The following is a 26,854-nucleotide window of genomic DNA, read 5'->3' as shown; positions in this document are numbered from 1 at the left end:
ATTTCTCTCAGTTCTGGAGTCATGGAAGTCCAAGGTCAAGGCACCAGCATATTTGGAGTCTTGTGAGGGCCCCATTCCTCATGGATGTCTCTTTCTTGCTGGTCCTCACATGGTGGAAAGAGTTAAACAAGCTCCCTCAGGCCTCTCTTATTAAGGCACTAATCCCATTCATGAGCGCTTTGCCTGCATGCCATAGTCACTTCCCAAATGCACCACCTCTTAAAAGCAACAGAGTGAAAGTTAGATTTCAACAAATGAATATTGGAGGGACACAAGCATTCAGGCCATAGCAGCCGTGAATAATAATAACAAAATAGTAGTTAATATTATAGACCACTGGTCATGTACAAGGCACCATTCTGAGTTCTTTACATCCATTAAATCATTGGCCTCTACGAGTCCAACCCTATTACAGTCATGTGTCACTTAATGAGAGGTATGCATTCTAAGAAATATGTCTTTAGGCAATTTCGTCATTGTGCAAACATTGTAGAATGTACTCACACACACCTAGCTGATACTGGCTGCTACACAGCTTGGCTGTCTGCTTTAGCCTATTGTTCTTAGGCTTCAAACCTATACACTATTATGCAATTTTAACACAATGGTAAGTATTTGTGTAGCTAAACATAGAAAGGTACAGTAAAAATACCATTTTATAATCTTAAAGGAATCTTTTTTAGCTGAAAAAGTGATCTGAGACAGGGAACCTGGTTTTCCTTAAGGCACTCATGGTGTAAGATGATAGGGCATGGTCCCAGCACCCAGGTCTCTGGACTCTCAATGCAGTCACACATACCAGCTCTCTTGAGTATGGGGTCCACTATTTCCATGCATACAAAGAAAACCAGAGCCAGAATAAGTCAACAACTTTTATTATCATTCACATATTTCATAAAAGAGAGACAAATACAGTAAATGGGTCATGGTTGCATGGAAAAAAATTCCAAGTTTATATAGGTCACTCTTTCTACATCTGTGAGCAGGGCTGTCCCAGCATCAGGCACAGCAGCTGCACTTATCTGATGCCCCTTTGCAAATGCAGCCTTGGGCACACTTGGCACAGCCCACAGGGTAGCAGGAGCAGCAGTCTGGGAAGAAGGGGAGAGTGAGAGGTCAGAGCAGACTCGACCGGAGACCTCTCTGCCCTGACAGAGGCCTGGCTCAAGCCCTGCCTCCAGCCCCAGAGGACCCTCAGTTCAGGGTGGCATTGCTCTGTTAGGACTCAACTGGTGGATCTTTGGGGTGAGGGTCTTCCAGTGAAAAAGCTGCCCAGCACAACCTATACCTGAGAGATGACAGAAGACTGGAGAGGCAGTGACTGGGGCTACAGGGACAAAGGAAAGCCAGTTCCCCAAAACCGTACACTTAAGTGAGGAAAGTCCTGAAGTGTCAGGTCTGTGCTTGGCAGGTTGGTGCACGCACATGCCCTCAGTTTCCCCATTTTAAGAATGAAAGTTGGGAATCAACTATCTTGTGTTTTTCCAGCTGTGATCCAGAATCACTTACCAGAAAGGGGATGTGGGAAGCTTGTCACTGTCCTGCTCCTGCCTGCTGAGCTCTCGGTTCCCTCCTCTGACTCTGCCCAGCACCCTGATTCCCAGGGAAGGCCCCACACTCACTCTTCTTGCAAGAGGTGCATTTGTACTCTTTGCATTTGCAGAAGCTGGCATAAGTGCAGGACCCAGCTGCAGGAAAGAGAAAAAGGCAGTGAGCGGTGAGTGTGCTGCAGGGTTAGGAGCAGGCCCTCAGCATCCTCTTGCTCAGTGCATGGGAAACCTGGTACCTTGTTCCACTCAGGCACATGGAAGCCCAGCCCCACCTTTTCTCCACAAAGGCTCAGATCGGCAGGCGCCCTCTTTTTCATAGCACACGGGGACCTCAGTGGGAAATCTTGAAGAAGCAATGTTTCCCACATCCCTACTAGCCCAGGCAGCTCAAAAGCTGGACACAGCACTAGGTCCCAGCTCAGCACACCTCTGGCCTATAGGTGACCCGGAGCAGGGGCAGTTTTGAGCCTCATTCCTCTCGCCTTAGAAATGGGAGGCACTGGGACTATGGTAATGTTCTCAGTGATGATAATAAAGGCGATTGGTAAGAGAAAAAGCACCAGAAGTACAAAGTAAAATAATCCACTTCAGGTAGGGCTCAAAATGCACCTGCCTCCTGCCGCAGGGACATTCTATCCTCTGGCATGAAAATGGAGATCCCAAGGCCCCGAAACCCGGCATCCTTTATCAGTGTCGCAGGAGCAGTTGAGGTCCATCTGGAGACCAGGTGAGGCTGGAGTACCTAAGCCAGAGGCGAAGAAGCAGGCAAGCCGGTGGGAGGGGGAACAGAGCTCAGGAGCCACCTCTGGCTTTGTAGTTAGGGTGGGGTGCCGGGCGCAGAGGCCCCGCCCCAAGTCTGGCCCCCGCTCCCGCAGTGTCAGAGGCGCCCTAGGGTTCAGGGCCGGGCTGTGCGCAGCAGACGGGCCCGCCGCAGGATCCTCCCTAGCGCTGCCAGTGCGCACCCTGGGGGCTGCCCTTTGACTCCTGCTCGCTTTGGCGGTAGGCGGCGTCCCTGCTATAATCCCAGCCCTACAGAATTTCCCGGGGATTGGAGTCCACTCCTGCCCCTGAGCGGTCCAGGAACCAAGCCTTAGGTGGTCACGGTGTCCCCAGCCCAGCACCCCGCACCAATGACCTGAGCTTCGCCTCTGTGGGAGTCTGTGTGCTACCCCGGCCTAATGCTCATGTCCCTAGATAGGACTGAGGCGGGAAGTGCAGCGAGGGAGTTGTGTGCAGAGGACAAGCCTCCCATGTGACCTTTGCCTCACCTGCATTGCCAGCCAGGTCCTTTGGCCACGTTTGTCTTGTTCACAGCAACAGAGCAGACACACGGCCCTGCCTCCCTCCCTTCCATTCCCCACTCCTGGGAAGGTGATGGGCACATTTGTCCAAGTCCTCTTTTGCTTTAACTTCTTGGGGCTTCCCACAGCCTCGCTGGCCCACCAAGCCCAAGGATGGAGCTTCCCAAAACTTGGAATGTTCCCAAGGGAGGGATCTTTTCCCTGGTGTGCTCACCCTTGCATTAAATTAAGAAGCATGAAAAATGGTTATTACTTTCAGAATTCTTAACTGTTACAGCGCTTTTAGTCTCAGCCAGACCCTGTTTAGTCACTTTGTCTATTTGAACCCTCACAGCAACCCTTAAGAGGAATACTCTTTATGACAGCATCTTACTAATCAGACGACAACACAAGGAGATAAGTAATTAGCCCAGGACAGAGGGTGGAAGTGGTGCCGCGGGTCTCAATCCACTCAGCTTTTCAAGGCAAAGAGGTCAATGATGCAACTTCTCTTTGGCCTGGCTATGTCTTCAGCACCTCTTTATTGCTTGAAATCTTTAAACAAAAACAAATGTCAAGGTCAATCCGGAGAGCAACAGAAGTGATACAGAGGGATATATATAATTGTACGGCTACCTTCCATGTCTGCAAGGTGAGACTGATTCTTATTTTCAGTACTGTCAAAGAGTTTGCTTTTTCTATAAATACATTAAGGAAATATGATTGTTTAAAAGAAAATGTTATGGAAAATAGCAGCGCAGGTGTTGGCAGAAATGGCAAGAATCGTTTTGCATCTGTTATGCAGACAGGGACTATCTTGCTCGTGGCTTTATATATGCAGTGTGGATCCCTATTTGTGGATGGGTAGGGGTCCCTCTCTGATCCACAGGTCATATGCTCATGTTATTGTTAGGAACAACATGGGACATACAGCTAAGCCCACCAGGACTGGTTTATTTGTCTGGAAGTACTAAAATGTCCCTGTGCTATGAATAAAGATAATAAAATCATAGCTATTACAGACTACTTGAGACATGCCAAACGCTATATTAAGTTCTCTATATGAATTAAGTGATTTGTTCCTACCAGCCAGACCCTGTTATTATGCAAGGGAACAGAGTAGGAGCCTGAACCACAGAGAGGTTGTTTCACCCTGGTATAAATGACACACCTGAAATTTACACTCATGCAACATCATTCCTTCAACCACCACCCTATGTCACTACTTCATGTAAAACACAAGGACATGAAAAACCTGGCACAGGGACAGCAGAGGGAAGAGTAACAAGCGGGCAGTCAATCTTTCTTCATAGCTCTTAACCTCCCTGAGCATCCGTGTGCCATCTATCCAGTCAGGGCACAATGGAGTCAACTAACCAAGGGTCCTTCCAGCTAAAAACTGTGACAGGCAGAGCTTAGCATCCACTTACACAATGATCTGCCAGCTCTGGAGAGGGCATGAGGACAGCTGTACCTTAAGTTCATCTATACCTGTAGTGCTGAGTTGTGTGACCTTGGGCAGGTTGTTAACTACTCTAGAGGACAGTGCTCCCCTGCATAGGCAGCCTCTGCACACACTGTCTCTCTGGTTTGTGTGAAGATCAAGTGACTTGAAGGGTGGGAAAGGCTTGTTCTCTGTCCAAATGCTGGAGCAGTGTCTTATGCTGGACAGTTGGTGCAGGAGGTCATCCACATATCCTTAAGACCAGATCAGCAAGACTCCGAACCCATTCCCAACTTCCAGTCCACAATCATGCTTCCAAGGAACTGGCTCTTTCCCAAGTAGCTTGATGGGATCTAACAGGATTCTGTCTGGAAAGTCCATGTGGACAAATGATTATAACAGCACTCTTCATTGAGTCCTAACCAGGTGCTAGGCCACTATCACATTTCATCCCAATGTAGATATATAATCTTCTTTCTACAAATGAGTAAATAAAGCCTCAGAGAGATTAAGCACCTTGCCCAGGTCACACAGCCAGTAAGGGATGAAGTGGGCTGTGAACCTGCTTGTGTGACACCAAAATGCCTGCACTTTGCCCAAGGCTGCTTTCTCTTCTTGTTTTATTTTAATTTTTTGTTTTACATAGAGAGAGGTTCTTACTGTGTTACCCAGGCTGGTCTCCAACTTCTGGCCTCAGGCAATTCTCCTGCCTTGGCTTGAGCAGAGCATGACGTGAGCCACTGAAGTGGTGTGAGCCACTGTACCTGGCCAGGCTACCTTCTGAAATCCCCTCTTCACAAAGCACCTTTAGGCCAGCATGATGCTTAGTCTTGGGCCATGTGACTCCTCTTCCTCTTTGAATATCAAATAGCAATTCCCTCACCAAATAGCCAGATAACTAACAGTTGCCATGAAGTACAAGACACCCAGGGCCTTCCTCCTTCATACTGAACGTCACTGCACCTTACAACAGATGTGCAGCGTTAGTATTTTATTTTTCCTGTTATTTTGTTCTTCACATCTGTTTTGAGATTTCTTTGTTGAATATAAGAAATAACTTTGTATTTTTATTTTTCATACTTATTCATTCTATTTATCTCACCAAAGCATAGGTCCATGACTGATTCCTGTGCCCTCATATCATCTGGCCTGATGCTCTTACATTTTTAGCTAGGAAACGGACCTGAGACAGGTGACCCGACTTGCCTTAAGGCACTCAGCATAAAGGATGATCCCAGCTCTGCTGGGTCTGAGGTGTCTTATTTCAGGACACCCCCTCAAAAAAAACAGAGGCAGAATAAGGCCAACAATGTTTATTATCATTCCCATATTTCATTTAAGAAAACAGACATAGTAAATGGGTTAGGTTTGTGTTTAAAAAAAAACTAGATTTGTAGGGGTTGCGTTATTTACAACTGGACGCAGGGCTGTCCCAACATCAGGCACGGCAGCTGCACTTCTCCAATGCCCCTTTTCAGGTGCAGCCCTGGGCACATTTGGCACAGCCCATGGGGCAGCAGGAGCAGCAGTCTGGGGAAGAAGGGGAGTGAGAGATCAGAGCAGGCTTGACCAGGGATCTCCCCGACCCAACAGAGGCCTGCCTCAAGCTGTGCCTCCAGCCCCAAAAGACGCTTAGTTCAGGATGGCATTGTTCTGTCAGGAGACAACTCCTGGATCTTTGGGGTGAGAGTCTTGCCATGAAAAAGCTACCCACCCTTCCTGTGCCCAGGACAGGGCAGAAGACTCCAGAGGGAGCGACATGCTCTTTGCAGTAAAAGGAAGGACAGTCTCCTAGAATAATACACCTAAGTGAGGAAAGTCCTCAAGTATCAGGCCTGTGCTTGGCAGGCTGGTGTGCTCTCTTGGTGTCAGTTTCCCCCTGGTAAGAATAAAGATTGGGAATTAACCATCTCTAGTGTTCTTCCAGCTGTGATCCTAAGTCATTTGCTGAAGCAAGGGGATGTGGGAAGTTCGTCATTGGTCTGCTCCTGTCTGCGGAGGTCTGGGATCCCTCCTTTGACTCTGCCCAGCCCCCAGATTCCCAGGGAAGGCCCCACACTCACTCTTCTTGCAGGAGGTGCATTTGTACTCTTTGCATTTGCAGGAGCTGGCACAGGTGCAGGAGCCACCTGCAAGGAAGAAAAAGGCAGTGAGGAGTGAATGTTGTGTGCCTCCCATCCACCTCAGGCAGCTCAATGCTGGACAGAGCACTGGGTCCTAGTTCAGCACACCTTTGGCCTTGAGGGTGACCTGCAGCCGGGCAGTTTTCAGCCTCAGTCCTCTCGCCTCAGAAATCGGAGGCACTAGGAAGATGGCAATGTTCTAAGTGGTGATGAAGGCTCTTGGCGGGGAGAAAGCTCGAGAAGTGCAAAGCAAAGGAGTCCACTTTAGGAAGAGCTCAAAATGCACCTGCCTCCTGCCCCAGGGATGTTCTATTCTGTGGTATGAAAATGAAGATCCTAAGACCCGAAACCAGGCATCCTTTACCAGTGGCGCAGGAGCAGCTGAGGTCCATTCGGAGATCAGGTGAGGCTGGAGTTCCTAAGCCACAGGCGAAAAAACAGGCGGGCCGGTAGGAGGCGGAACAGGAGCAGGCCGCCTGACTTTACAGTCAGGGCAGGGTGCTGGGTGCAGTGGCCCCGCCCCAGGTCTCGCACCAGCCCAGCTCAGTGTCAGCGCTGCCCAGGGTTCAGGGCGGGGCTGTGCGCACCAGGCGGGCCGGGCGCAGGATCCTCCTTAACGTGGCTGTTGCGCACCCTGGGGGCGGCCCTTTGGCTCACGCTCGCTTTGGAGGGGCTGTGCTCCTGGCGGTACGCGGCGTCCCTGCTATAATCCCGGCCCTCCCGAATTTCCCGGAGATTGCACTCCATTCCTGCCCTTGGGCGGTCCGGGAACCCAGCCTCAGGTGGTCGCGGTATCCCCACCCCCGCACCCCGCACCAGTGACGTGAGCTTCGGCTCTGTGGGAGTCCATGTGCTACCCCAGCCTAGTGCTCACGTCCCCAGATAAGACCGAGGCGGGAAGCGCAGCGAGGGAGTTGTGTGCAGAGGACCAGCCTCCCATGTGATCTTCGACCCACCTGCATAGTCACCCAGGTCCTTTGGCCTCATTTTTCCTTTTCACAGCACACAGCAACAGGCCAGATACAGGGCTCTGCCTCCCTCCCTTCCATTCTCCACTCCTGAGGGGGCGATGTGCATATTTGCTTAAGTCCTCTTTTGCTTTAACTTCTTTTGGGCTTCCCACAGCCTAGCTGGCCCACCAGGACTAAGGACATCCAAAGCTTGGGACGTCACCAAGGGAGGGATCTTTTCCCTGATGTGGTGACCCTACATTAAATTAGGAAGCATGAAAAGTGCTTATTTCACTTTCAGAATTCCTGACTATTGCCGAGCTTTTGGTCTTGGCCAGACCCTGTTTAGTCACTTTGGCTATTTGAACCCTCTCAGCAACCCTCGAGGATAATACTCTTTATGACAGCATCTTACTAATCAGACAACGACAACACAAGGAGATAGGTAACTAGCCCGGAACAGAGGGTGGAAGTGCTGAGGCAAGAGAATAGATTCTGGAGGCAGTGAACCTAAGGCTGATTCACAGTCTTTCTAGAACTAAACCAAAAGGAAAACCCCAACTTTCCACACCCAAGTAACAAAAGGACCAGAGGCTACTTCGTTTGCAACCCCTCCCCACTTTGTCTGCATGGGAGATGAGAAATTGAAAGTACCTCTGATTTGCCCCTTATGGCAACCAGTTGGGCTGGTCTTGGGCTACATCTTCATTTGCACAGGAGTAACTTTGTAACTTCACTTCAGCTTCTAATTGGTTGCTTTCTGCAATCAGTCAGACTGATAGCGGACCACTACTTCTTGTACATAGAGTGTACACTAAGCAACCAATGAGAAACCTCTAGAGGATATTTAAACCATAGAAAATTCTATAACCAGGCCCTTGAGCCACTCGCTGGGGCCAGCTCCCACCCTGTGCAGTATACTTTTGTTTTCAATAAACCTCCGCTTTTGTTGCTTCCTCCCTCCCTTACTTTGTACATTTTGTCAAATTCTTTGTTCAAGGTACTAAGAACCTGGACACCCTGCACCGGTAACAGTGGTACTGTGGGTCTCAATCCAGTCAGCTTTTCAAGGGAAAGAGGTCAAGGGCAAACTTTCCCTTTGGCCTGGGTATGTCTTCAGCACCTCTTTACTGCTTGAAATCTTTAAACATAAACAAACGTCCAGGTCAATTCTGGAAGTGACAGAAGGGATGTATATGTAATTTTATGGCTACCTTCCATATCTGCAAGTGTGACTGATTCTTTTTCTCAGTAGTGTCAAAGAGTTTGCTTTTCCTATAAATATATTAAAGAAATATGATTACTTAAGAGAAAATGTTAAGGAAAATAACAGCGCAGGCGATAGCAGAAATGGCAGGAATCCTTTTGCATTTGTTATGCAGACAGGGACTGTCTTGCTCGTGGCTTTATATATCCAATATGGATCCTTATTTGTGGACTAGTGGAGGACCCTCTCTGGGCCACAAGTCACGTGCTCCTGTTATTGATGAGAACAACATGGGACACACAGCTAAGCCCACCAGGCCTGGCTTATTTGTCTAGAGGTAGAAAAATATCCCTATGCTATGAATAAAGATTACAATCAAAGCTATTACAGACTAGTCAGCACAAGCCAGGCACCATTTTAAGTTCTTCACATGTTTTAAGTGATTTGCTCCTACCAGCAGACTCTATTATTATGTCAATTCACAGTTGAGGAGACTGAGCCACAGAAAGGTTGCGTCACCCACATATAAGTGACGCAGCTGGGATTTGCACTCATGCATGCTGACTGCATCATGGTGCCCTCAACAACCACCCTATGCTACTGTGTCATGTAAAACCCAAGGACACTGAAAATCTGGCACAGAGACAGCAGTGGGAAGGACACTGAGCTAGCAGTCAATCCCTCTGCATAGCTCTGTGACCTCTCAGCCTCAACATGCCATCTCACCCATCAGAGGCACAGCTGCACTAACTAACCAAGGTCCCTTCTAGCTCTGAATTGTGACAGACAGTTCTACAAAGGAAGAAATGGAGGCTCAGAGAGGTTGAGCAACCTGCCTAGGTCTCACAGCCAGTAGGTGGTGAAGTGGGCAGTTAAACAAGACTGCCCTGACCCTGAACCCCATGCTCTTTGCACAGCCTGCCTTCTGGAACCCTCTCTTCAAAAGGAGTACCTGCAGGCCAGCATGGTCCTGATTCCTGGCCCGCTTGACCCCTTTTCTTCTTTGAACATCAAATAGCAATTCCCGCAACAAATAGCCAGAGGAACTAATTGCTGCCATTAATTACAAGTTACCTGGGGCCCCCTACTCCTTCCTAATGAACACCACCACACTTTAGAAACTGCATAATATGCCATCACCTCCGCATAGGCGGACTCAAAGTACTTCATCTGGAACTAATCCTTCTCTGTACTCCAGCTTGCTGGGAGGATCCTGGGTAATTTCCTCCACTCCCCCAGTCACTTTGCTTGCCTGAATTAACCAAGGGCTGGACTTGAAGGAGGAACGGATTTCAGCATGACCTAGGGAGAAACTTCCGAAGATTCAGAGACAAGTCACAACATGGAGCTCTCAGAGATACCAAGAGTCACATCAGTGACCCTGGACAGGCCAAGACTGATGGTTCCATGTGGGGATGTCCTGGCTGGTGGTGTTGAAGGTGTGTGACCCACATACTGGGGCCAGTCTGTGAACTGTTTCCAGTCTGAAATATACATCCTAGAACAAATGTGTAGTGTAATTTTATTTTTCCTATCTTGTCTTCCATATATTTACTGAAATTGTCCTGTTCAATATAAAAAATGGATTTGGTGTTTTTTTTTTGTCATACTAATAGATTTTATCTTACCAAAGCTTAAGTCTGTGACAGATTCCTGTGGCATTATATCATCTGTCATCACGCTCTTACATTTTTATTTAAGAAACTGACCTGAGGCAGGTGCCTGATTTGCCTTAAGGCACTCAGTGTGTAAGATAATAGGACAAGGTCCCAGCACCCAGGTCTCTGGACTCTCAATGCAATCCACCATCCCAGCTCTGTTGGGTATGGGGTCCCTTATTTCCAAGGCACACAAAGAAAACCAGAGCCAGCATTAAGTCAGCAACTTTTATTATCATTCACATATTTCATTAAAAAAAATACAGTAAATGGGTCAGGGTTGTATGGAAAAAAAATTCCAAGTTTGTGCAGGTCACTCTTTCTATATCTTCGAGCAGGGCTGTCCGGACATCAGGCACAGCAGCTGCACTTCTCTGATGCCCCTTTGCAGATGCAGCCCTGGGCACACTTGGCACAGCTCATGGGGCAGCAGGAGCAGCAGCCTGGGGAAGAAGGGAGAGTGAGAGGTCAGACCAGACTTGACCGGGGACTTCCCTGCCCCCAGAGAAGCCTGGCCCAAGCTCTGTCCCCAGCCCCAGAGGACACTTAGTTCAGGATGGCATGCACTGTCGGAGATGGGAGATAAGTGGTGGATCTTTCGAGTGAGGGTCTTCTGTGAAAAGCTTATCTCCATCTGAGCCCCAGACCTGGCAGAAGGCTGGAAAGGCAGTGACTGGGGTTATGAAGGACAAAGGAAGGCTGGCTCCCCAGAACCACACACTTAGGGGAGGAAAGTCCTTAGGTGTCATGTCTGTGCTTGGCAGGCTGGTGCACTCTTGGCCTCAGTTTGTCTATTTTAAGAACGAAACTTGGGAATCCATCACGTCTAAAGATCTGGCTCTGATCCTGAATCAGTTGCTGGGGAAGGGGATGTGGGAAATGGATCATTGGCCTACTCCTCCATGCCCAGCTCTGGTTTCCTGCCTCTGACTTGGCTCAGCCCCAGATTCCTGGAGATGGCCCCACACTCACTCTTCTTGCAGGAGGTGCATTTGCACTCTTTGCATTTGCAGGAGCCAGTGCAGGTGCAGGAGCCACCTGCAAGGAAGAGAAAAAGGCAGTGAATTTTATACAGAAGATAACAGCAGTTGGTCAACAAATGCTGCCAGCTGAGTGCATTGCCAGGCCTGATAGATAGCTCCTGTCCAACTCAGGGCACCATGAAGCCTAATCTTACTTCTATCTGTAGAGGCTAGGATGGGCTTTATGTCCTTAATCCCGAAAAACCAATAACTCCTGTCTCCCATCCACCCCAGGAACTGCGCAGAGTACTGGGGCTCAGCCTAGCAGTCCCCGACTACCTGGGTGACATGGAGCAGGAGAATTATGAGCCTGAGTCCTCTCGCCTCTGAAATGGGAGGCATTAGAATAGGAATGTTCTAGGGATGATGAAGGCGCTGAGTGGAAAAGCACTAGATCAATGAAATAAATGACTCCACTTAGCTAGAACTCAAAAAACACCTCTACTCCTAGGGACATCTATCCTGTGGCGGGGAAATAGGTATCCTAAGGACCAGAAACCTAGCATCCCTTACCAGTGGCGCAGGAGCAGTTGGGGTCCATTTCGAGCCGCGGTGAGGTTGGAGATCCCAAGCAAGAAGTTGAGAGGCTATAAGGCGCACGTGGAAGGCTTGGTAGGGCCCAGCAGCCAGCGGCTGCTTTTATGGTCAGGGGAAAGAGGGCCGGACGCAAAGGACCCGCCCTGCGCCTGCGCCCGCCCCGCTGAGTCCGCCCAGCCGAGTCCGCCCCGCCCGAGGTGATGACCTGGACTGGGCTTTGCGCAGCAGAAAGGCAAGGCGCACAGTCCACTGAGCTCCCCTGGGTGCGGACCACGGGACCACCCCCTCCCCGCTTTGGGGCCGCTAACGCGGGAGTGAGTTTACGCCCGGGGTACGGGGCGTCCCCGAGGTCCCGGTCGCCTTTCCCAGTTTCCCCGAAGTTGCCTTCCACCCTAGTCCCCGCGCGTTCCGGGAACCCAGCCTTGGCGTTTCGGTCGCCTCCACCCCACCCCTCTCACGGTTTTCAGCTCGGCCTGTCCCGAAGTCTGAGTGCAGCCACAGCCTCCTGCTCCTGTCCCCGGATCGGCGTAGTGCAGAGCGTGGAGCGTGCGGTAGCGAGCGAGTTGTGTGCAGAGCAACCGCCACCGATGTGATTTTCGTTTCTCCTCGCTGTCGCCTTGCCTGTCCCTGTCCACACCTAGGTCCCTCGGACCCACTACTCCGTACACAGTAACACGGGAACACGGGTCGGCCTCTCACTCTCGTCCATTCTCCTCGCCTGAGAGGATGTGGGGGCACATTTGTCCAGGTCCTCCTTTGCAAATAAATCTCCGTGCTCCCCACAGCCTAGCCGGCCACCCCACTACCGTCTGGCAGTTCTGGACATGTGGGATATCCCCAAAAAGGAGATGACTTCATGTGATGTGCTGACCCTGCTTTAAACTAAAAAGCAAGATGGGGGAGGTGGCGGGAAGCTGTAGTCCAAGCTACTTAGGAGGCTGAGGCGGGAGCATCACTTAAGCCCAGGACTTCCAGTCCTGCCTAGTCCACATAGCAAGTCAACTTCTCTAAAAAAATAAAATTAAAAAGCAAGACATCCAGTTATTTCCCTAAAGTACACCTGACTAAGGCATAACATTGAGTCTATACCAGTCCCTTTCTAATCACTTTCATTCACAGCCACCACTGGAGTGACCTACCAGAGGATGAACACACTCTTTACCATGGGATGGCACCAAGTCATTCTTTAGGGATGTGTCCTCATGACCCCAAAAGCTCCCTCTAGGCCCCACCTGCAATAGTGGAGGACACATTTCAACATGAGATTTGGCAGTGACAAAATATCTAAATCATAGCACACATGTAGGATTCAAGAAACTAAGAAGTTGGGTTCCAGCACTATAGCCACTTTTAAGCCTAAAATCCAATGTGGATCTCAAGTTGTGGAGGAAAATCAGAAAATAAAAATAAGGAATGAAGTTTCTGTGCCACGTTTGGCATGAGACTGGAAGCGATCATGTATGGTCCCCACCCATATGGTGTGGCAAAGTGCAGTACCATTTCACAGAAGTGTGAACTCAGTGAGGTAACCTGACTGGCCTGAAGGTGTTCACATTATTAGTGACTCACATTTCCATCCAGAGCCTGGTCTCTAAGCTTGCGGTTTAACCTCCACCCCAGTCCATTTTTTCCAAGGCACACAAAGAAGAACAGAGTAAGATTCAAGTCAAAATTGTTTTATTGTCACTCACATATTTAATATAAAAAGAAATGCAGCAAATGGCTCAGTATTGTATAAAAAAAAAATCCAGGTTGTGCAGGTTGTTCTATTAACATCTGGGAGAAGAGCTGTTCCCACATCAGGCACAGCAGCTGCACTTCTCCGACGTCCCTTTGCAGATGCAGCCGTGGGCACACTTGGCTCAGCCCATGGGGCAGCAGAAGCAGCAGCCTGGGGAAGAAGGGGAGAGTGAGAGGTGGCAGCAGACTTCACCAGGCACCTCCCTGCCCTAATAGCAAGCGTGGCTCCAGCTCAGACGCCAGACCCAGAGGAAGCTTTTTTCGTCTGGCATAGCTCTGTTCTGAAACCATAGATGGTACAGTTGGGGTTTGCATCCCAAGAGAAAAATGCTGTTCTGCCCCATCTGAACTCAGGGCAGAAAGCTGGGAGAAGGAATGAAATGGGCAACGAGGGCAAAGAAAGCCCAGTTCACCAGAAGGGTGCACTCAGGGCCAGCCTTGAGTTCCCTCCCAACCTTAACCACAGCCCCAGATTCCTGGAGATGGCCCCGCACTCACTCTTCTTGCAGGAGGTGCATTTGCACTCTTTGCACTTGCAGGAGCCGGCGCACGTGCAGGAGCCACCTGCAAGGAAGAGGAAAACGCAGTTGGCAGTGAGTGAGATGAAGAAGGTACAGCAGTGGGTCAATGAGTCTCCAGTGCCCCCTCCTCTGTGCAGGGCCAGCCCTCAGAGCTCCTTTCCCACTCAGGACAGAGGAACAGAAGCCCCATGTCCTCTCCACTCACACTGGGAAGGGCAAGCACCCTCCTGTTTCACCTTATCAGGAAGGTCCCACGTGCACATACAACCCAGGTATTCTGAGATTGCCAGCCAGAACCTTCTGTCCTGAACCCTGAAGACTCAATGCCTCTAGCTCAGCATCCACCCTGATTGCTCAGAGCCTGGAGGAGAACACTGGGGCCCAGCCAGCAGGACCCTGACCAACTGGGTGATGTGGAGCAGGACTGCCTTGAGCCTCAGTATCCTTAACTCTGACTTAGAGGCCCAGGAGGGAGGGCAGTGCTCTCAGGAGCGCGATCAGGAAGAAAGCACCCCAAGGAAGTAAAGGAGTCCCCTTCCGCTCAGAACTTAAAATGCAACCTCCTCAAACCCAGAGACCCTCAGTACTGGGGCTGGGAAATGGGAATCCCAGGGCGCAGAGTTGGGCTTCTCTTACCAGTGGTGCAGGAGTAGTTGGGGTCCATTTCGAGCCGCGGTAAGGCTGGAGATCTCAAGCGATAAATGGAGAGACCGCAAGGCGCACGTGGACGGCGTGGTGGAGCGCCACAACCTGCGGCTGCTTTCCTACTCAAGGAAGGGGGCCGGGCGCAGAGGCCTTGCCCCGCGCTTGCACCCGCCCCGCTGGGTTCGAGCCCCCAGCGGTCCTGGGCTGGCCTGTGCGCAGCAGAAGGGCCGGGGGCACCAACCCCTGAGCTCCACTCCCGGCGCGCCGCGGGACCGCCCTTCTGGCGCCCCTTCGCGCGTGAGGGGCTGTGCGCCCGGCGGTATGCGGTGTCCCCGAGGTCCTGGCCGCCTTTCCCAGTTTCCCTGAAGTTGCCTTTGCCTTCCACCCTCCTCCCCGCGCTTTCCGGGACCCCAGCCTTGGCGTCGCGGGCGTCTCCACCCCATCCCTCGCTTCGCCGTTTTCAGCTGGGCCTGTCCCGGAGTCCCGGTGCAGCCCTCCTGCTCCTGTCCCCGGATCGGCTGAGTGGGAAGCGGGGAGCGTGCGGTAGCCAGCGAGTTGTGTGCAGAGCACCCGCCACCGATGTGGCTTTCGTTTCTCCTCATCTCCCGCCTTGCCTGTCCCTGTCCACACCGCGGTCCCTCGGACCCGCTCCTCCGTACACAGCAACACGGGGAACACGGGTCGGCCTCTCTCTCCCGTCGATTCTCCTCGCCTGAGAGGATGTGTGGGCACATTTGTCCAGGTCGTCCTTTGCTGATAAATCTCCATGCTCCCCACAGCCTAGCCGGCCACCCCTACTACCGGCTGGCAGTTCTGGACCTGTGGGCTGTCCCCAAAGAGAGATGAGTTCAGATGATATGCAGACCCTACTTTAAATTAAAAAGCAAGATGGGAAATTAGCCGGGCGTGGTGGGGGGCACCTGTAGTCCCAGCTATCCCGTGGCTGAAGCGGGAGAATGGCATGAACGCAGAGGCGGAGCTTGCCCTGAGCCGAAATAGCGCCACTGCACTCCAGCCTGGGCGACAAAGCGAGACTCGGTCCCCCCACCCAAAAAAAAAGAAAGAAAGAAAGAAAAAGAAAAAGAAAAAAAGCAAGGTGGGGAAGGTGGCGGGAAGCTGAAGTCCCAGCTACTTAGGAGGCTGAGGCGGGAGGATCACTTGAGCCCAGGACTTCATGTCCTGCCTAGTCCACATAGTGAGTCAACGTCTCTAAAAAAATAAAATTAAAAAGCAAGACATCCAGTTATTTCTCTGAAGTATACCTGACTAAGGCATAACATTGAGTCTATACCTGTCCCTTTCTAATCACTTTGACAGACAGCTCTGGAGTGACCTACCAAAGGAAAAACTCACCCTTCACCATGGGAGGGCACCAAGCCATTCTTTAGGGATCTGTCCTCATGGCCCCAAAAGCTCCCACTAGACCCCACCTGCAATAGTGGAGGACACATTTCAACATGAGATTTGGCAGTGACAAAATATCTAAATCATAGCACCCGTGTAGGATTCAAGAAACTAAGAAGTTGGGTTCCAGCACTATAGCCACTTTTAAGCCTAAAATCCAATGTGGATCTCAAGTTGTGGAGGAAAATCAGAAAATAAAAATAAGGGATGAAGTTTCTGTACCACATTTGGAATCACACTAAAAGCGATCATGTATGGCCCGCACCCATATGGTGTGCACAATGCAATACCGTTTTACAGAAGGGTGAACTCAGTGAGTAACCTGGCTGGCCTGAAGGTGTTCACATTGTTAGTGACTCACATTTTCATCCAGAGACTGGTCTCTAAACTCCCAGTTTAACCCCCACCCAGTCCATTTTTTCCAAGGCACACAAAGAAGAACAGAGTAAGATTCAAGTCAAAATTGTTTTATTGTCACTCACATATTTAATATAAAAAGAAATGCAGCAAATGGCTCAGTATCGTATTGAAAAAAAATCCAGGTTGTGCAGCTTGTTCTATTAACATCTGGGAGAAGAGCTGTTCCCACATCAGGCACAGCAGCTGCAGTTCTCCAACGTCCCTTTGCAGACACAGCCGTGGGCACACTTGGCACAGCCCACGGGGCAGCAGGAGCAGCAGCCTGGGGAAGAAGGGGAGAGAGAGGTAGCAGTAGACTTGACCGGGCACCGCCCTGCCCCAATAGCAAGCCTGGCTGGAGCTCAGAACCCAGACCCAGAGGAAGCTTTTTACGTCTGGCACAGCTCTGTTCTGAAACCATAGATGCTACAGTTGGGATTTGTGTCCCAAGAGAAAAATGCTGTCCTGCCCCATCTGAATTTAGGGCAGAAAGCCTGGAGAGGGAATGACACGGGCAATGAGGGCAAAGAAAGCCCAGTTCCCCAGAAGGATGCACTCAGGGCCAGCCTTGGGTTCCCTCCCAATCTCAGCCACAGCCCCAGATTCCTGGAGATGGCCCCGCACTCACTCTTCTTGCAGGAGGTGCATTTGCACTCTTTGCACGTGCAGGAGCCGGTGCAGGCGCAGGAGACACCTGCAAGGAAGAGAAAAACGCAGTGGGCAGTGAGTGAGATGAAGAAGGTACAGCAATGGGTCAATGAGTCTCCAGTGCCCCCTCCTTTGTGCAGGGCCAGCCCTCAGAGCTCCTTTCCCACTCAGGGAAAGCCCCTGTCCTCTCCACTAACGCTGGGAAGGGCAAGCACCCTCCTGTTTTACCCTACCAGGAAGGTCCCAGGGGCACACCCAACCCAGGAATACTGAGATTGCCAGCCAGAACCTTCTGTGCTGAACCCTGAAGACTCAAATGTCTCCAGCCCCCAGTCCACCCTGATTGCTCAGAGCCTGGAGGAGAACACTGGGGCCCAGCCAGCAGGACCCTAACCAACTGGGTGATGTGGAGCGGGACTGCCTTGACCCTCAGTATCCTTAACTCTGACCCAGAGGCCCAGGAGGGAGGGCAGTGCTCTCAGAGGGGAGATCAGGAAGAAAGCACCTAAGGAAGTAAAGGAATTCCCTTCCGCTCAGAACTTAAATGCGACCTCCTCAAACCCAGAGACCCTCAGTACTGGGGCTGGGAAATGGGATTCCTAGGGCGCAGGGTCGGCTTCTCTTACCAGTGGTGCAGGAGCAGTTGGGGTCCATTTCGAGCCGCGGTAAGGCTGGAGATCTCAAGCGATAAATGGAGCGACTGCTAGGCCCACCCGGACGGCGTGGTGGAGCGCCACAGCCTGCGGCTGCTTTTCTACTCAGGGGAGGGGGCCGGGCGCAGAGGCCCTGCCCCGCGCTTGCACCCGCCCGGCTGGGTTCGCACCGCCAGCGGTCCTGGGCTGGGCTGGGCTGAGCCCAGCATAAGTGCCGGGCGCACCATCCCCTGAGCTCCGCTCCGAGTGCGCCGCTCGACCGCCCCTTTGGCTCGGGTTTGCGCGGGAGGGGCTGTGCGCCGGGTGGTACGCAGTGTCCCCGAGGTCCCGGCCGCCTTTCCCAGTTTCCCCGAAGTTGCCTTTGCCTTCCACCCTCCTCCCCGCGCTTTCCGGGACCCCAGCCTTGGCGTCGCGGGCGTCTCCACCCCACCCCCTCGCCCCGCCGTTTTCAACTGGGCCTGTCCCGGAGTCCCGGTGCAGCCCTCCTGCTCCAGTCCCCGGATCGGTCGTGTGCGGAGCGGGGGGCGTGTGGTAGGGAGCGAGTCGTGTGCAGAGCACCCGCCACCAATGTGGCTTTCGTTTCTCCTCCTTCCCCGCCTTGCCTGTCCCTGTCCACACCGCGGTCCCTCGGACTGGCTCCTCCGTACACAGCAACACGGGGAACACTGGTCGGCCTCTCTCTCCCGTCCATTCTCTTCGCCTGAGAGGATGTGGGGGAACATTTGTCCAGGTCCTCCTTTGCAGATAAATCTCCATGCTCCCCACAGCCTAGCCGGCCACCCCACTACCGTCTGGCAGTTCTGGACCTGTGGGATGTCCCCAAAGAGAGATGACTTCAGATGATATGCAGACTCTGCTTTAAATTAAAAAGCAAGATGGGTGAGGTCGCGGGAAGCTGTAGTCCCAGCTACTTAGGAGGCTGAGGCGGGAGGATCACCTGAGCCCAGGAGTTCGAGTTCTGCCTAGTCCACATAGCAAGTCAGCATCTCTAAAATAATAAAATTAAAAAACAAGACATGCAGTTGTTTCTCTTCAGTATACCTGACTATTGCATGACATTGAGTCTACACCAGTCCCTTTTTAATCTCTTTCATTCTTTGAATCCTCACAGCAATCCTAAAGGGAAATACTAGTTATGAACCCGTTTTGCTCATCACAGGACTACAAAGGAAATGTCCAAGTAACTGGCTGGTCGTCACAGAGCTAAAAATTTGTGCCCTTGTTTAAGTCCAGCCAGCCTCTTAAAGGAAAGTGTCCATGATCAAGCCTTCCTTTGGTCCAGATATGTCGTCAGCACTTCTCTATTGCTGGAAATCTTCTAAACAACAGGGGAAGGGCACCGCGGCCCACACCTGTAATCCCAGCACTTACGAAGGCCGAGGCGGATGAATCACCTGAGGTCAGGAGTTGGAGACCAGCCTGGCTAACATGGCGAAACCCTGTCTCCACTAAAAATACAAAAATTATCCTGGCATGGTGGCAGTTGCCTGTAATCCCAGCTACTGGGGAGGCTTGGGCAGGAAAATCGTTTGAACCCGGGAGGCAGAGGTGGCAGATTGGGCCATTGTACTCCAGCTGGCTGACAGGGGTAAAACTCTGTCTCAACAAACAAAAACAACCAAAAACCCTCAAATAAACAACAGGAAGCTACCAGCTCTCTGATGGGCAGTGGCAAAAGTAATCCATAAGTGTAATACACACACACACACACACACATTAATTTGGGGGCTATCTTCCATGTGTAAGACAAGATTGGATTTCATTTTCTCAGGTGGAAAATAATTTGCTTTTCATAAAAATATGTTTAAGAAGTATTGATCATTTCAAGGTAAAATATTAACTAAGGGATGGTGCAGGTGGTAACAGAAATGGCAGTCATTCTTCTGTATCTGACATGAAGCACAGAATCTTCCTCATAGCTTTATAACCCTAGTGTTGATAACAATTTTGTGGGGACACTGAATGGCTCTCTTTAGACCACAGGACACATGCTCATGCGGTAGATGAGGATAACAGGATACACAGCTGAGCACTCCAGGCCTTTATGTGCAAATAAATAAATATCCCCTATGCTCCATAGAATGAACAAAATAAGCAATAGCTAATATTGTAGACCACCCACCCCTGGTACCATTCTAAGTTCCTGATATGTATTAAATCCTTTAATCCTACAAGCCAGAGGTTAGTATCATGCCCCTTGTACAGTGGAGGAGACTGAGCCACAGAGAGGTTGTGCCATGCAGCTGAAACTAACAGAGGTGGGATTTGCACTCATGCATTCTGATGGCAGCATCGTACCCTCAGCTACCACTCTATGCCACTAAGTCACATGAAAGATAATGACACTGAAAATCTAGCACAGAGGCAGCAATAGGAAGTGCACTCTGTGGACAGGAATGTCCCCCTGCACAGCTCTGTGACATCTCTGGGTTTCAGTTCTCATCTCTCAAGCCGAGAGCAACATTCATCCATCCCAAAGAGTCTTTGTATCTTTGAACTGAGATAGGCAAGATTTAGCATCCCGTGGCATCATAATCTACCAGCTGTGGCCAGGGCCACAGGCCAGGTTTAGCATAGGTTCATTCATCCCTTTACTTCTGAGCTGTGTGACATTGGGTAGGTTACTTAACTAATCTGGAAGACAGCATAAGCACTCCAGGCCCTGCATATTTGCTGTCCCAGTCTTGAGGCCTGTGGCTCTCGTTCCTGAGGTCGTGTGATCAGATGATATGAAGGATGGGAACGGATTTTTATGTCTGCTCAAATGTAGGGGCAGCATGTTATCGACAAGGACTTTCCGCAGAAGGTCACCCACACGCCTCCTGGCAGGGTCAGCCTGGTTGCAATCCGATTGCCAGTATCCAATCCACAGTAATGCTTTCAAACCCATAAGGTTTCTCTTATCTTTGAGATTTAACAGGGTTCATTTTCCAAAAAAGCCAGTGTAGAGAGAATGCTTATAACTGCTATTTATTAAACCCTAGCCAGGGGCCAGACCATGCTGTCATTTAATCCCTGCTTTGAGATATAATCTGCTTTCTACAAATAAGGAACTGGAGGCTCAGAGAGTTTCAGTGATGCACTCAGGCCACACAGCCAGTACGTGGTGAGGTGGGCTGTGAACCAGGACTGCCTGACACCAAAACCCATGCCCTAGGCACAGGCTGCCTTCTGAAATCTACTCTTCACAGGGAAGCAGTGGGCAAGCATGGTCCTGACCTCTAGGTCAGGAGGATCATCTTCCTCTTTGACTGAATGTCAAATAGGATTCCCTCCACATAGCCGAGGGAACTAATCATTGGCTTTAATTAGAAGTCAGCCAGGGCCTCACTCCTTCCTAATGAGCACCAGCACACCCTCCAAACTGCAGAATCCGCCATCATTCCTGCATGGGCAGGTGTGAGGTATTCATGTGGAACCCATGATCACACACACTTCATTGTGCCAGGAACATGCCGGGCATTTCCTTCCATATTCCCAGTCACTTTAGTGGTTGGAAGTAGTCAAGGGCTGAAATTTGAAAGAGGAACAAATTCAGCCTGAGCTTGGGAGGAATTTCCAAAGATTCAGAGCCAAGTCACAACAGGGAGCTCTCAGGGGTCAACGAGTGTCCTGTCAGTGACACTGGGCAGACCAAGCCTGAGGGTTTTTTGTGGGGATGTGCTGGGCAGTGCTGCTCAAGGTGTGTGAACCACACACTGGGGCCAGTTTGCTGTTTCCTTTCTTTTCTTTCTTTGAGACAGAGTCTCAGTTGCCCAGGCTGGAGTGCCGTGGTGCAGTCTTGGCTCACTGCATCCTCTGCCTTCGGGGTTCAAGCGATTCTCTTAAGCTTCTGCAGGCTGTGCATAAGTGTGGTACAGGCATCTGCCTCTGGTGAGGGCCGCAGGAAGCCTACCTTCCTGGCAGAAGGCCAACAGGGAGCAGGCACATCACGTAGAGAGACAAGAAACAAGAGAGAAAAAGGGATGATGCCTGGCTCTTTTAAACAGCCAGCTCTGGAGTGAGCTACTAGAGGAAGAACTCACTCTTCACCACGGGATGGCACCAAGCCATTCTTTAGGGATCTGTGCTCATGACCCCAAAGTTCCCACTAGGCCCCACCTGCAATATTGGAAGTCACATTTCGACATGAGATTTAGTAGTGACAAAACATCCAAATCATAGCACACTTGTAGGATTCAAGGAACTGGGGAGTTGGGTTCCAGCACTGTAGCCACTTTTTTTTTTTTTTTTTTTTTGAGATGGAGTCTCGCCCTGTTGTCCAGGCTGGAGTGCACTGGCGGATCTCGGCTCACTGCAACTTCAGTCTCCCGAGTTCAAGCAATTCTCCTGCCTCAGCCTCCCCAGTAGCTGGGATTATAGCTACGTGCCATCACGTGTGGCTAATTTTTTGTATCTTTAGTGGAGACAGGGTTTTACCATGTTGGCCAGGCTGGTCTCAAACTCCTGACCTGGTGATCTGCCCACCTGGCCTCCTAAAGTGCTGGGATTATAGGCGTGAGCCACCGTGCCTGTCCTGTAGCCAATTATTTTTTTTTTATTTTTTATTTTTGAGATGGAGTCTCGCTCTGTCGCCCAGGCTGGAGTGCAGTGGCATGATCTCGGCTCACTGCCAGCTCCGCCTCCCAGGTTCACGCCATTCTCCTGCCTCAGCCTCCGGAGTAGCTGGGACTACAGGTGCCCACCACCATGCCCGGCTAATTTTTTGTATTTTTTTTTTAGTAGAGACGGGGTTTTCACCGTGTTAGCCAGGATGGTCTCGATCTCCTAACCTCGTGATCCGCCCACCTGGCCTCCCAAAGTGCTGGGATTACAGGCGTGAGCCACCGCTCCTGGCCTATAGCCCTTTTTTTTTTTTTTTTTTTTTTTTTTTTTTTTTGAGACGGAGTTTCGCTGTTGTTGCTCAGGCTGGAGTGCAATGGCGCGATCTCGGCTCACCGCAACCTCCGCCTCCCGGGTTCAAGCGATTCACCTGCCTCTGCCTCCCAAGTAACTGGGATTACAGGCATGCGTCACCACGCCTGGCTAATTTAGTATTTTTAGTAGAGACAGGGTTTCTCTATGTTGGTCAGCCTGGTCTCGAACTCCTGACCTCGGGTGATCCGCCCGCCTCAGCCTCCCAAAGTGCTGGGATTACGGGCATGAGCCACCATGCCCGGTGTTTGTTTTTTTTTTGAGAGGGAGTCTCACTCTGTCACCCAGGCTGGAGTGCCCTGGCGGGATCCCAGCTCACTGCAAGCCCCGCCTCCCAGGTTCATGCCATTATCCTGACTCAGCCTCCTGAGTAGCTGCGCCCGGCCTGTAGCCGATTTTAAGCCTAAAATCCAATGTGGATCTGAAGTTGAGCAGGAAAATCAGAAAATAAAAAGGAGGGAAGGAGTTTCTGTGCCACATTTTACATGAGACTGGAAGCGATCATATATGCCCCCCCACCAATATGGTGTGCACAGTGGAATGCCATCTTACAGAAGTGTAAACTCAGTGAGGTAACCTGGCTGGCCTGAAAGTGTTCACATTGCTAGTGGCTCACATTTCCATCCAGAGCCTGGTCTCTAAAATCCCGGTTCAACCCCCACCCAGTCCGTTTTTTCCAAGACACACAAAGAAGAACAGAGTAAGATTAAAGTCAAAATTGTTTTTATTGTCAGTCACATATTTAGTATAAAAAGAAATGCAGCAAATGGCTCAGTGTTGTATTTTTAAAAAAATCCAGGTTGTGCAGGTTGTTCTATTTACATCTGGGAGAAGAGCTGTTCCCACATCAGGCACAGCAGCTGCACTTCTCCGATGCCCCTTTGCAGACGCAGCCCTGGGCACACTTGGCACAGCCCACGGGGCAGCAGGAACAGCAGCCTGGGGAAGAAGGGGAGAGTGAGAGGTGGCAGTAGACTTGACCGGGCACCTCCCTGCCCTAATAGCAAGCCTGGCTCGAGCTCAGAACCCAGACCCAGAGGATGCTTTTTTTCGTCTGGCACAGCTCTGTTCTGAAACCATAGGGGGTACAGTTGGGGTTTGTGTCCCACGAGAAAAATGCTGTCCTGCCCCATCTGAATTTAGGGCAGAAAGCCTGGAGAGGGAATGACACGGGCAATGAGGGCAAAGAAAGCCCAGTTCCCCAGAAGGATGCACTCAGGGCCAGCCTTGAGTTCCCTCCCAACCTGAGCCACAGCCCCAGATTCCTGGAGATGGCCCCGCACTCACTCTTCTTGCAGGAGGTGCATTTGCACTCTTTGCACTTGCAGGAGCCGGCGCACGTGCAGGAGCCACCTACAAGGAAGAGGAAAACGCAGTGGGCAGTGAGTGAGATGCAGAAGGTACAGCAGTGGGTCAGTGAGTCTCCAGTGCCCCCTCCTCTGTGCAGGGCCAGCCCTCAGAGCTCCTTTCCCACTCAGGACAGAGGAACAGAAGCCCCATGTCCTCTCCACTAACGCTGGGAAGGGCAAGGACCCTCCTGTTTTACCGCACCAGGAAGGTCCCACGTGCACATACAACCCAGGAATATTGAGACTGCGAGCCAGAACCTTCTGTCCTGAACTCTGAAGAGTCAATGTTTCCAGCACCCCCAACCACACTGATTGCTCAGAGCCTGGACAGAGCACTGGGGCCCAGCCAGCAGGCCCATGACCAACTGGGTGATGTGGAGCAGTTCAGCCTTGAGCCTCAGTATTCTTAACTCTGACGTAGAGGCCCAGGGATGAGGGCAATGCTCTCAGGGGCGTGATCAGGAAGAAAGCATCTAACGAAGTACTGGAGTCCCCGTCGCTCAGAACTTAAAATGCGACTTCCTGAAACCCAGAGACCCTCTGTAATAGGGCTGGGAAATGGGGATTCCAGGGCGCAGAGCTTCCCTTACCAGTGGCGCAAGAGCAGTTGGGGTCCATTTCGAGCAAAGGGGATGCTGGAGCTCACACCAGTGAGACGAACAAGCAGTCAGGCAGTTGGAAAGCAGAATGGAGCCCTGCAACTGGCTGCTCTATTTATAGACGGAGGTCGGGCCGGGCGCAGAGGCCCAGCTCCGCGCCTGCACCCGGCCCGCTGAGTCCGCACCGCCCGCGTTCCTGGGCTGGGCTGTGCGCCGCAGAAGGGCCGGGCGCACCACCCCCTGAGCTCTGCGCGGTGGGCACCGCGGGACCTCCCCTTTGGAGCCCGTTCGCTCGGGTGGGGCTGTGCCCCCGCAGGTACGCGGTGTTCCCGAAGTCCAGGCCGCCTTTCCCAGTTTCCCCGAGGTTGCCTTCCACCCTCCTCCCAGCGTGTTCCGGGACCCCAGCCTTGGCGTCGCGGGCGTCTCCACCCCACCCCTAGCTCCGCGGTTTTCAGCTCGACTTGTCCCAGAGTCCGTGTGCAGCCCACCTGCTGCCGTCCCGGGATCCGCTGAGTGCGGAGCGGGGAACGTGCGGTAGCGAGCGAGTTGTGTTCAGAACATCCGCCACCGATGTGGCTTTCATTTCTCTTCGTCCCCCGCCTTGCCTGTCCCTGTCCACACCTAGGTTCCTCGGTCCCGCACCTCCTTACATAGCAACACGGGGAACACGGATCGGCCTCTCTCTCCTGTCCATTCTCCTCGCCTGAGAGGATGTGTGGGCACATTTGTCCAGGTCCTCCTTTGCACTTAAGTCTCCATGCTACCCCTAGCCTTAGGGCCACCACAATACCGGATGGCAGTTCTGGACATGCGGGGTGTCCCCAAAGAGAGATTACTTCAGATGATATGCAGACCCTGCTTTAAATTAAAAAGCAAGGTGGGCGAGGTGGCGCCTACTGCTGTAGTCCCAGCTACTTGGGAGGATCACTTGAGCCTAGGAGTTCGAGTCCAGCCTGGGCAACATAGGGAGTGAACGTCTCTAAAAAAATAAAATTAAAAAGCAAGATAGGCCGGGAGCGGTGGCTCACACCTGTTATCCCAGCACTTTGGGAGGCCGAGGCGGGCGGATCACGAGGTCAGGAGATGGAGACCATCCTGGCTAACATGGTGAAACCCCGCCTCTACTAAAAATACAAAAAATTAGCTGGACTTGGTGGCGGGTGCCTGTAGTCTCAGCTACTGGGGAGGCTGAAGCAGGAGAATGGCGTCAACCCGGGAAGTGGAGCTTGCAGTGAGCCAAGATCGCGCCACTGCACGTCAAAAAAAAAAAAAAAAAAAAAAAAACAGAAAAAGAAGAAAGAGAAAAAAAGAAAAAGAAAGAAAGGAAAAAAAGAAAGCAAGATAAATGGTTATTTCTCTTCAATATTGCTGATCTCTTCAATATTCCCGGCTGAATGCACAACATTGAGTCTGTGCCGATCTCTTTTTAACCACTTGCTTTGTGATCTTAAAGAAAAATACGATTTATGAACTTGTATTACTAAACAGACAGCTACTACAGAGTTAAAGTAATTGGTTCAAGTCACAGAGCTGAAAAATTGTCACTGATTTGAATCCAGCCAACCCCTCAAGAGAAAGTGTCCATGGATCAAGCCTTCCTTTGGCCCAGGTATGTCATCAGCACTTCTCTCTTGCTGGAAATCTTCTAAACAATGGCAAGCCACAAGCTCAACCATGGGCAGTGGCAAAAGCAATCCATAAGTGTAATATATATATATATATATATATATATATATATATACACACACACACACACACACACACACACACACACATTTATAGTTTTCCTAGCTATCTTGTATGTATGGATAGGACCGATTTTCATTTTTGGTGATGGAAAAGAGTTTGCTTTTCATACAAATATATTTAAGAAAATATTAATCATTTAAATATAAAATGATAAGTAAAGTGTGCAGGTGGTAACAGAAATGCCAGTCATTTTATATCTGACATGAGGCAGAGAATCTTGCTCGTAGCTTAATAACCCTGTGTTGATGATGATTTTGTGGGAGCAGTGAATGACTCTCTTTGGACCACATGACACATGTTCATGTGGCAGATGACAATGAGAGCATACACAGCTAGGCACTCCAGGCCTGGCTTCTTTGTCTGTAAGTAAATATCCCCCATGCGATGTATGATTATTATTTTTTTTTAAAAAAAGCAATAGCTAATATTGTAGAATGCTTGCCAAGCAGCATTCTAAGCTCC

General features: G+C 50.9%; 3 protein-coding genes and 3 pseudogenes across 7 annotated transcripts, besides 3 other annotated features; all 6 read right to left on the bottom strand.

Annotated features, from left to right (window-relative positions):
* MT1CP (metallothionein 1C, pseudogene) lies at positions 1,001–2,825 on the bottom strand (annotated as a pseudogene).
* Positions 2,482–3,049: an enhancer, noted in NCBI's record as "H3K4me1 hESC enhancer chr16:56681377-56681944 (GRCh37/hg19 assembly coordinates)". NCBI's record gives its function as "activates a minimal SCP1, AML or CMV promoter by ChIP-STARR-seq in naive H9 embryonic stem cells {active_cell/tissue: H9 hESC(naive)}" and the evidence as "EXISTENCE:reporter gene assay evidence [ECO:0000049][PMID:30033119]".
* Positions 5,573–6,827, bottom strand: MT1DP (metallothionein 1D, pseudogene; annotated as a pseudogene). Of its 2 annotated transcripts, none has more exons than NR_027781.1 (3): positions 6,762–6,827; positions 6,338–6,403; positions 5,573–5,804 (listed from the first exon to the last, which is right to left on the bottom strand). The product of NR_027781.1 is annotated as a metallothionein 1D, pseudogene, transcript variant 2 (transcript). The 2 variants fall into 2 exon arrangements; NR_003658.2 differs by lacking the exon at positions 6,762–6,827 and adding an exon at positions 6,506–6,710.
* Positions 6,828–10,426: 3,599 nt separating this feature from the next.
* Positions 10,427–11,848, bottom strand: MT1A (metallothionein 1A). The gene is made up of 3 exons (NM_005946.3): positions 11,748–11,848; positions 11,185–11,250; positions 10,427–10,655 (listed from the first exon to the last, which is right to left on the bottom strand). The coding sequence occupies exons 1-3, from the start codon at positions 11,773–11,775 to the stop codon at positions 10,564–10,566; spliced, it is 186 nt and encodes a 61-aa protein (NP_005937.2). The 5' UTR covers positions 11,776–11,848; the 3' UTR covers positions 10,427–10,563.
* A 1,579-nt stretch (positions 11,849–13,427) lies between these two features.
* On the bottom strand, positions 13,428–14,775 carry MT1JP (metallothionein 1J, pseudogene; annotated as a pseudogene). The gene is made up of 3 exons (NR_036677.1): positions 14,669–14,775; positions 14,010–14,075; positions 13,428–13,662 (listed from the first exon to the last, which is right to left on the bottom strand). The product of NR_036677.1 is annotated as a metallothionein 1J, pseudogene (transcript).
* MT1M (metallothionein 1M) lies at positions 16,533–17,855 on the bottom strand. Its single transcript, NM_176870.3, has 3 exons — positions 17,755–17,855; positions 17,109–17,174; positions 16,533–16,763 (listed from the first exon to the last, which is right to left on the bottom strand). The coding sequence occupies exons 1-3, from the start codon at positions 17,780–17,782 to the stop codon at positions 16,672–16,674; spliced, it is 186 nt and encodes a 61-aa protein (NP_789846.2). The 5' UTR covers positions 17,783–17,855; the 3' UTR covers positions 16,533–16,671.
* Positions 23,402–24,733, bottom strand: MT1E (metallothionein 1E). Of its 2 annotated transcripts, NM_175617.4 has the most exons (3): positions 24,635–24,733; positions 23,983–24,048; positions 23,402–23,634 (listed from the first exon to the last, which is right to left on the bottom strand). In NM_175617.4, the coding sequence occupies exons 1-3, from the start codon at positions 24,660–24,662 to the stop codon at positions 23,543–23,545; spliced, it is 186 nt and encodes a 61-aa protein (NP_783316.2). In that variant the 5' UTR covers positions 24,663–24,733; the 3' UTR covers positions 23,402–23,542. The 2 variants fall into 2 exon arrangements, with proteins under 2 accessions (NP_783316.2, NP_001350484.1); NM_001363555.2 differs by having other exon boundaries at positions 23,402–24,048.
* Positions 24,511–25,047: an enhancer, noted in NCBI's record as "H3K27ac-H3K4me1 hESC enhancer chr16:56659379-56659915 (GRCh37/hg19 assembly coordinates)". NCBI's record gives its function as "activates a minimal SCP1, AML or CMV promoter by ChIP-STARR-seq in primed H9 embryonic stem cells {active_cell/tissue: H9 hESC(primed)}" and the evidence as "EXISTENCE:reporter gene assay evidence [ECO:0000049][PMID:30033119]".
* Positions 24,685–24,734: a silencer, noted in NCBI's record as "silent region_7512". NCBI's record gives its function as "represses an Ori minimal core promoter by ATAC-STARR-seq in GM12878 lymphoblastoid cells {active_cell/tissue: GM12878}" and the evidence as "EXISTENCE:reporter gene assay evidence [ECO:0000049][PMID:35858748]".

The sequence above is a fragment of the Homo sapiens genome, chromosome 16 (genome assembly GCF_000001405.40).
Source record: "Homo sapiens chromosome 16, GRCh38.p14 Primary Assembly".
Lineage (NCBI taxonomy): Eukaryota > Metazoa > Chordata > Mammalia > Primates > Hominidae > Homo > Homo sapiens.
Note: the sequence above shows the minus strand (reverse complement) of the source record. Positions and strands in the feature narration are given on the sequence as shown.

What these genes read in the sequence shown, in the direction of transcription:
- MT1A (NM_005946.3), bottom strand. Translation starts at nt 11,775, where the DNA reads ATGGACCCCAACTGCTCCTGCGCCACTG. An exon ending in CAACTGCTCCTGCGCCACTG is followed by an intron (nt 11,251 to 11,747) that starts GTAAGGGATGCT and finishes TCTTCCTTGCAG; the next exon opens with GTGGCTCCTGCACCTGCACT. An exon ending in ATGCACCTCCTGCAAGAAGA is followed by an intron (nt 10,656 to 11,184) that starts GTGAGTGTGGGG and finishes CTTCTTCCCCAG; the next exon opens with GCTGCTGCTCCTGCTGCCCC.
- MT1M (NM_176870.3), bottom strand. Translation starts at nt 17,782, where the DNA reads ATGGACCCCAACTGCTCCTGCACCACTG. An exon ending in CAACTGCTCCTGCACCACTG is followed by an intron (nt 17,175 to 17,754) that starts GTAAGAGAAGCC and finishes TCTTCCTTGCAG; the next exon opens with GTGTCTCCTGCGCCTGCACC. An exon ending in ATGCACCTCCTGCAAGAAGA is followed by an intron (nt 16,764 to 17,108) that starts GTGAGTGCGGGG and finishes CTTCTTCCCCAG; the next exon opens with GCTGCTGCTCCTGCTGCCCC.
- MT1E (NM_001363555.2), bottom strand. Translation starts at nt 24,662, where the DNA reads ATGGACCCCAACTGCTCTTGCGCCACTG. An exon ending in CAACTGCTCTTGCGCCACTG is followed by an intron (nt 24,049 to 24,634) that starts GTAAGGGAAGCT and finishes TCTTCCTTGTAG; the next exon opens with GTGGCTCCTGCACGTGCGCC.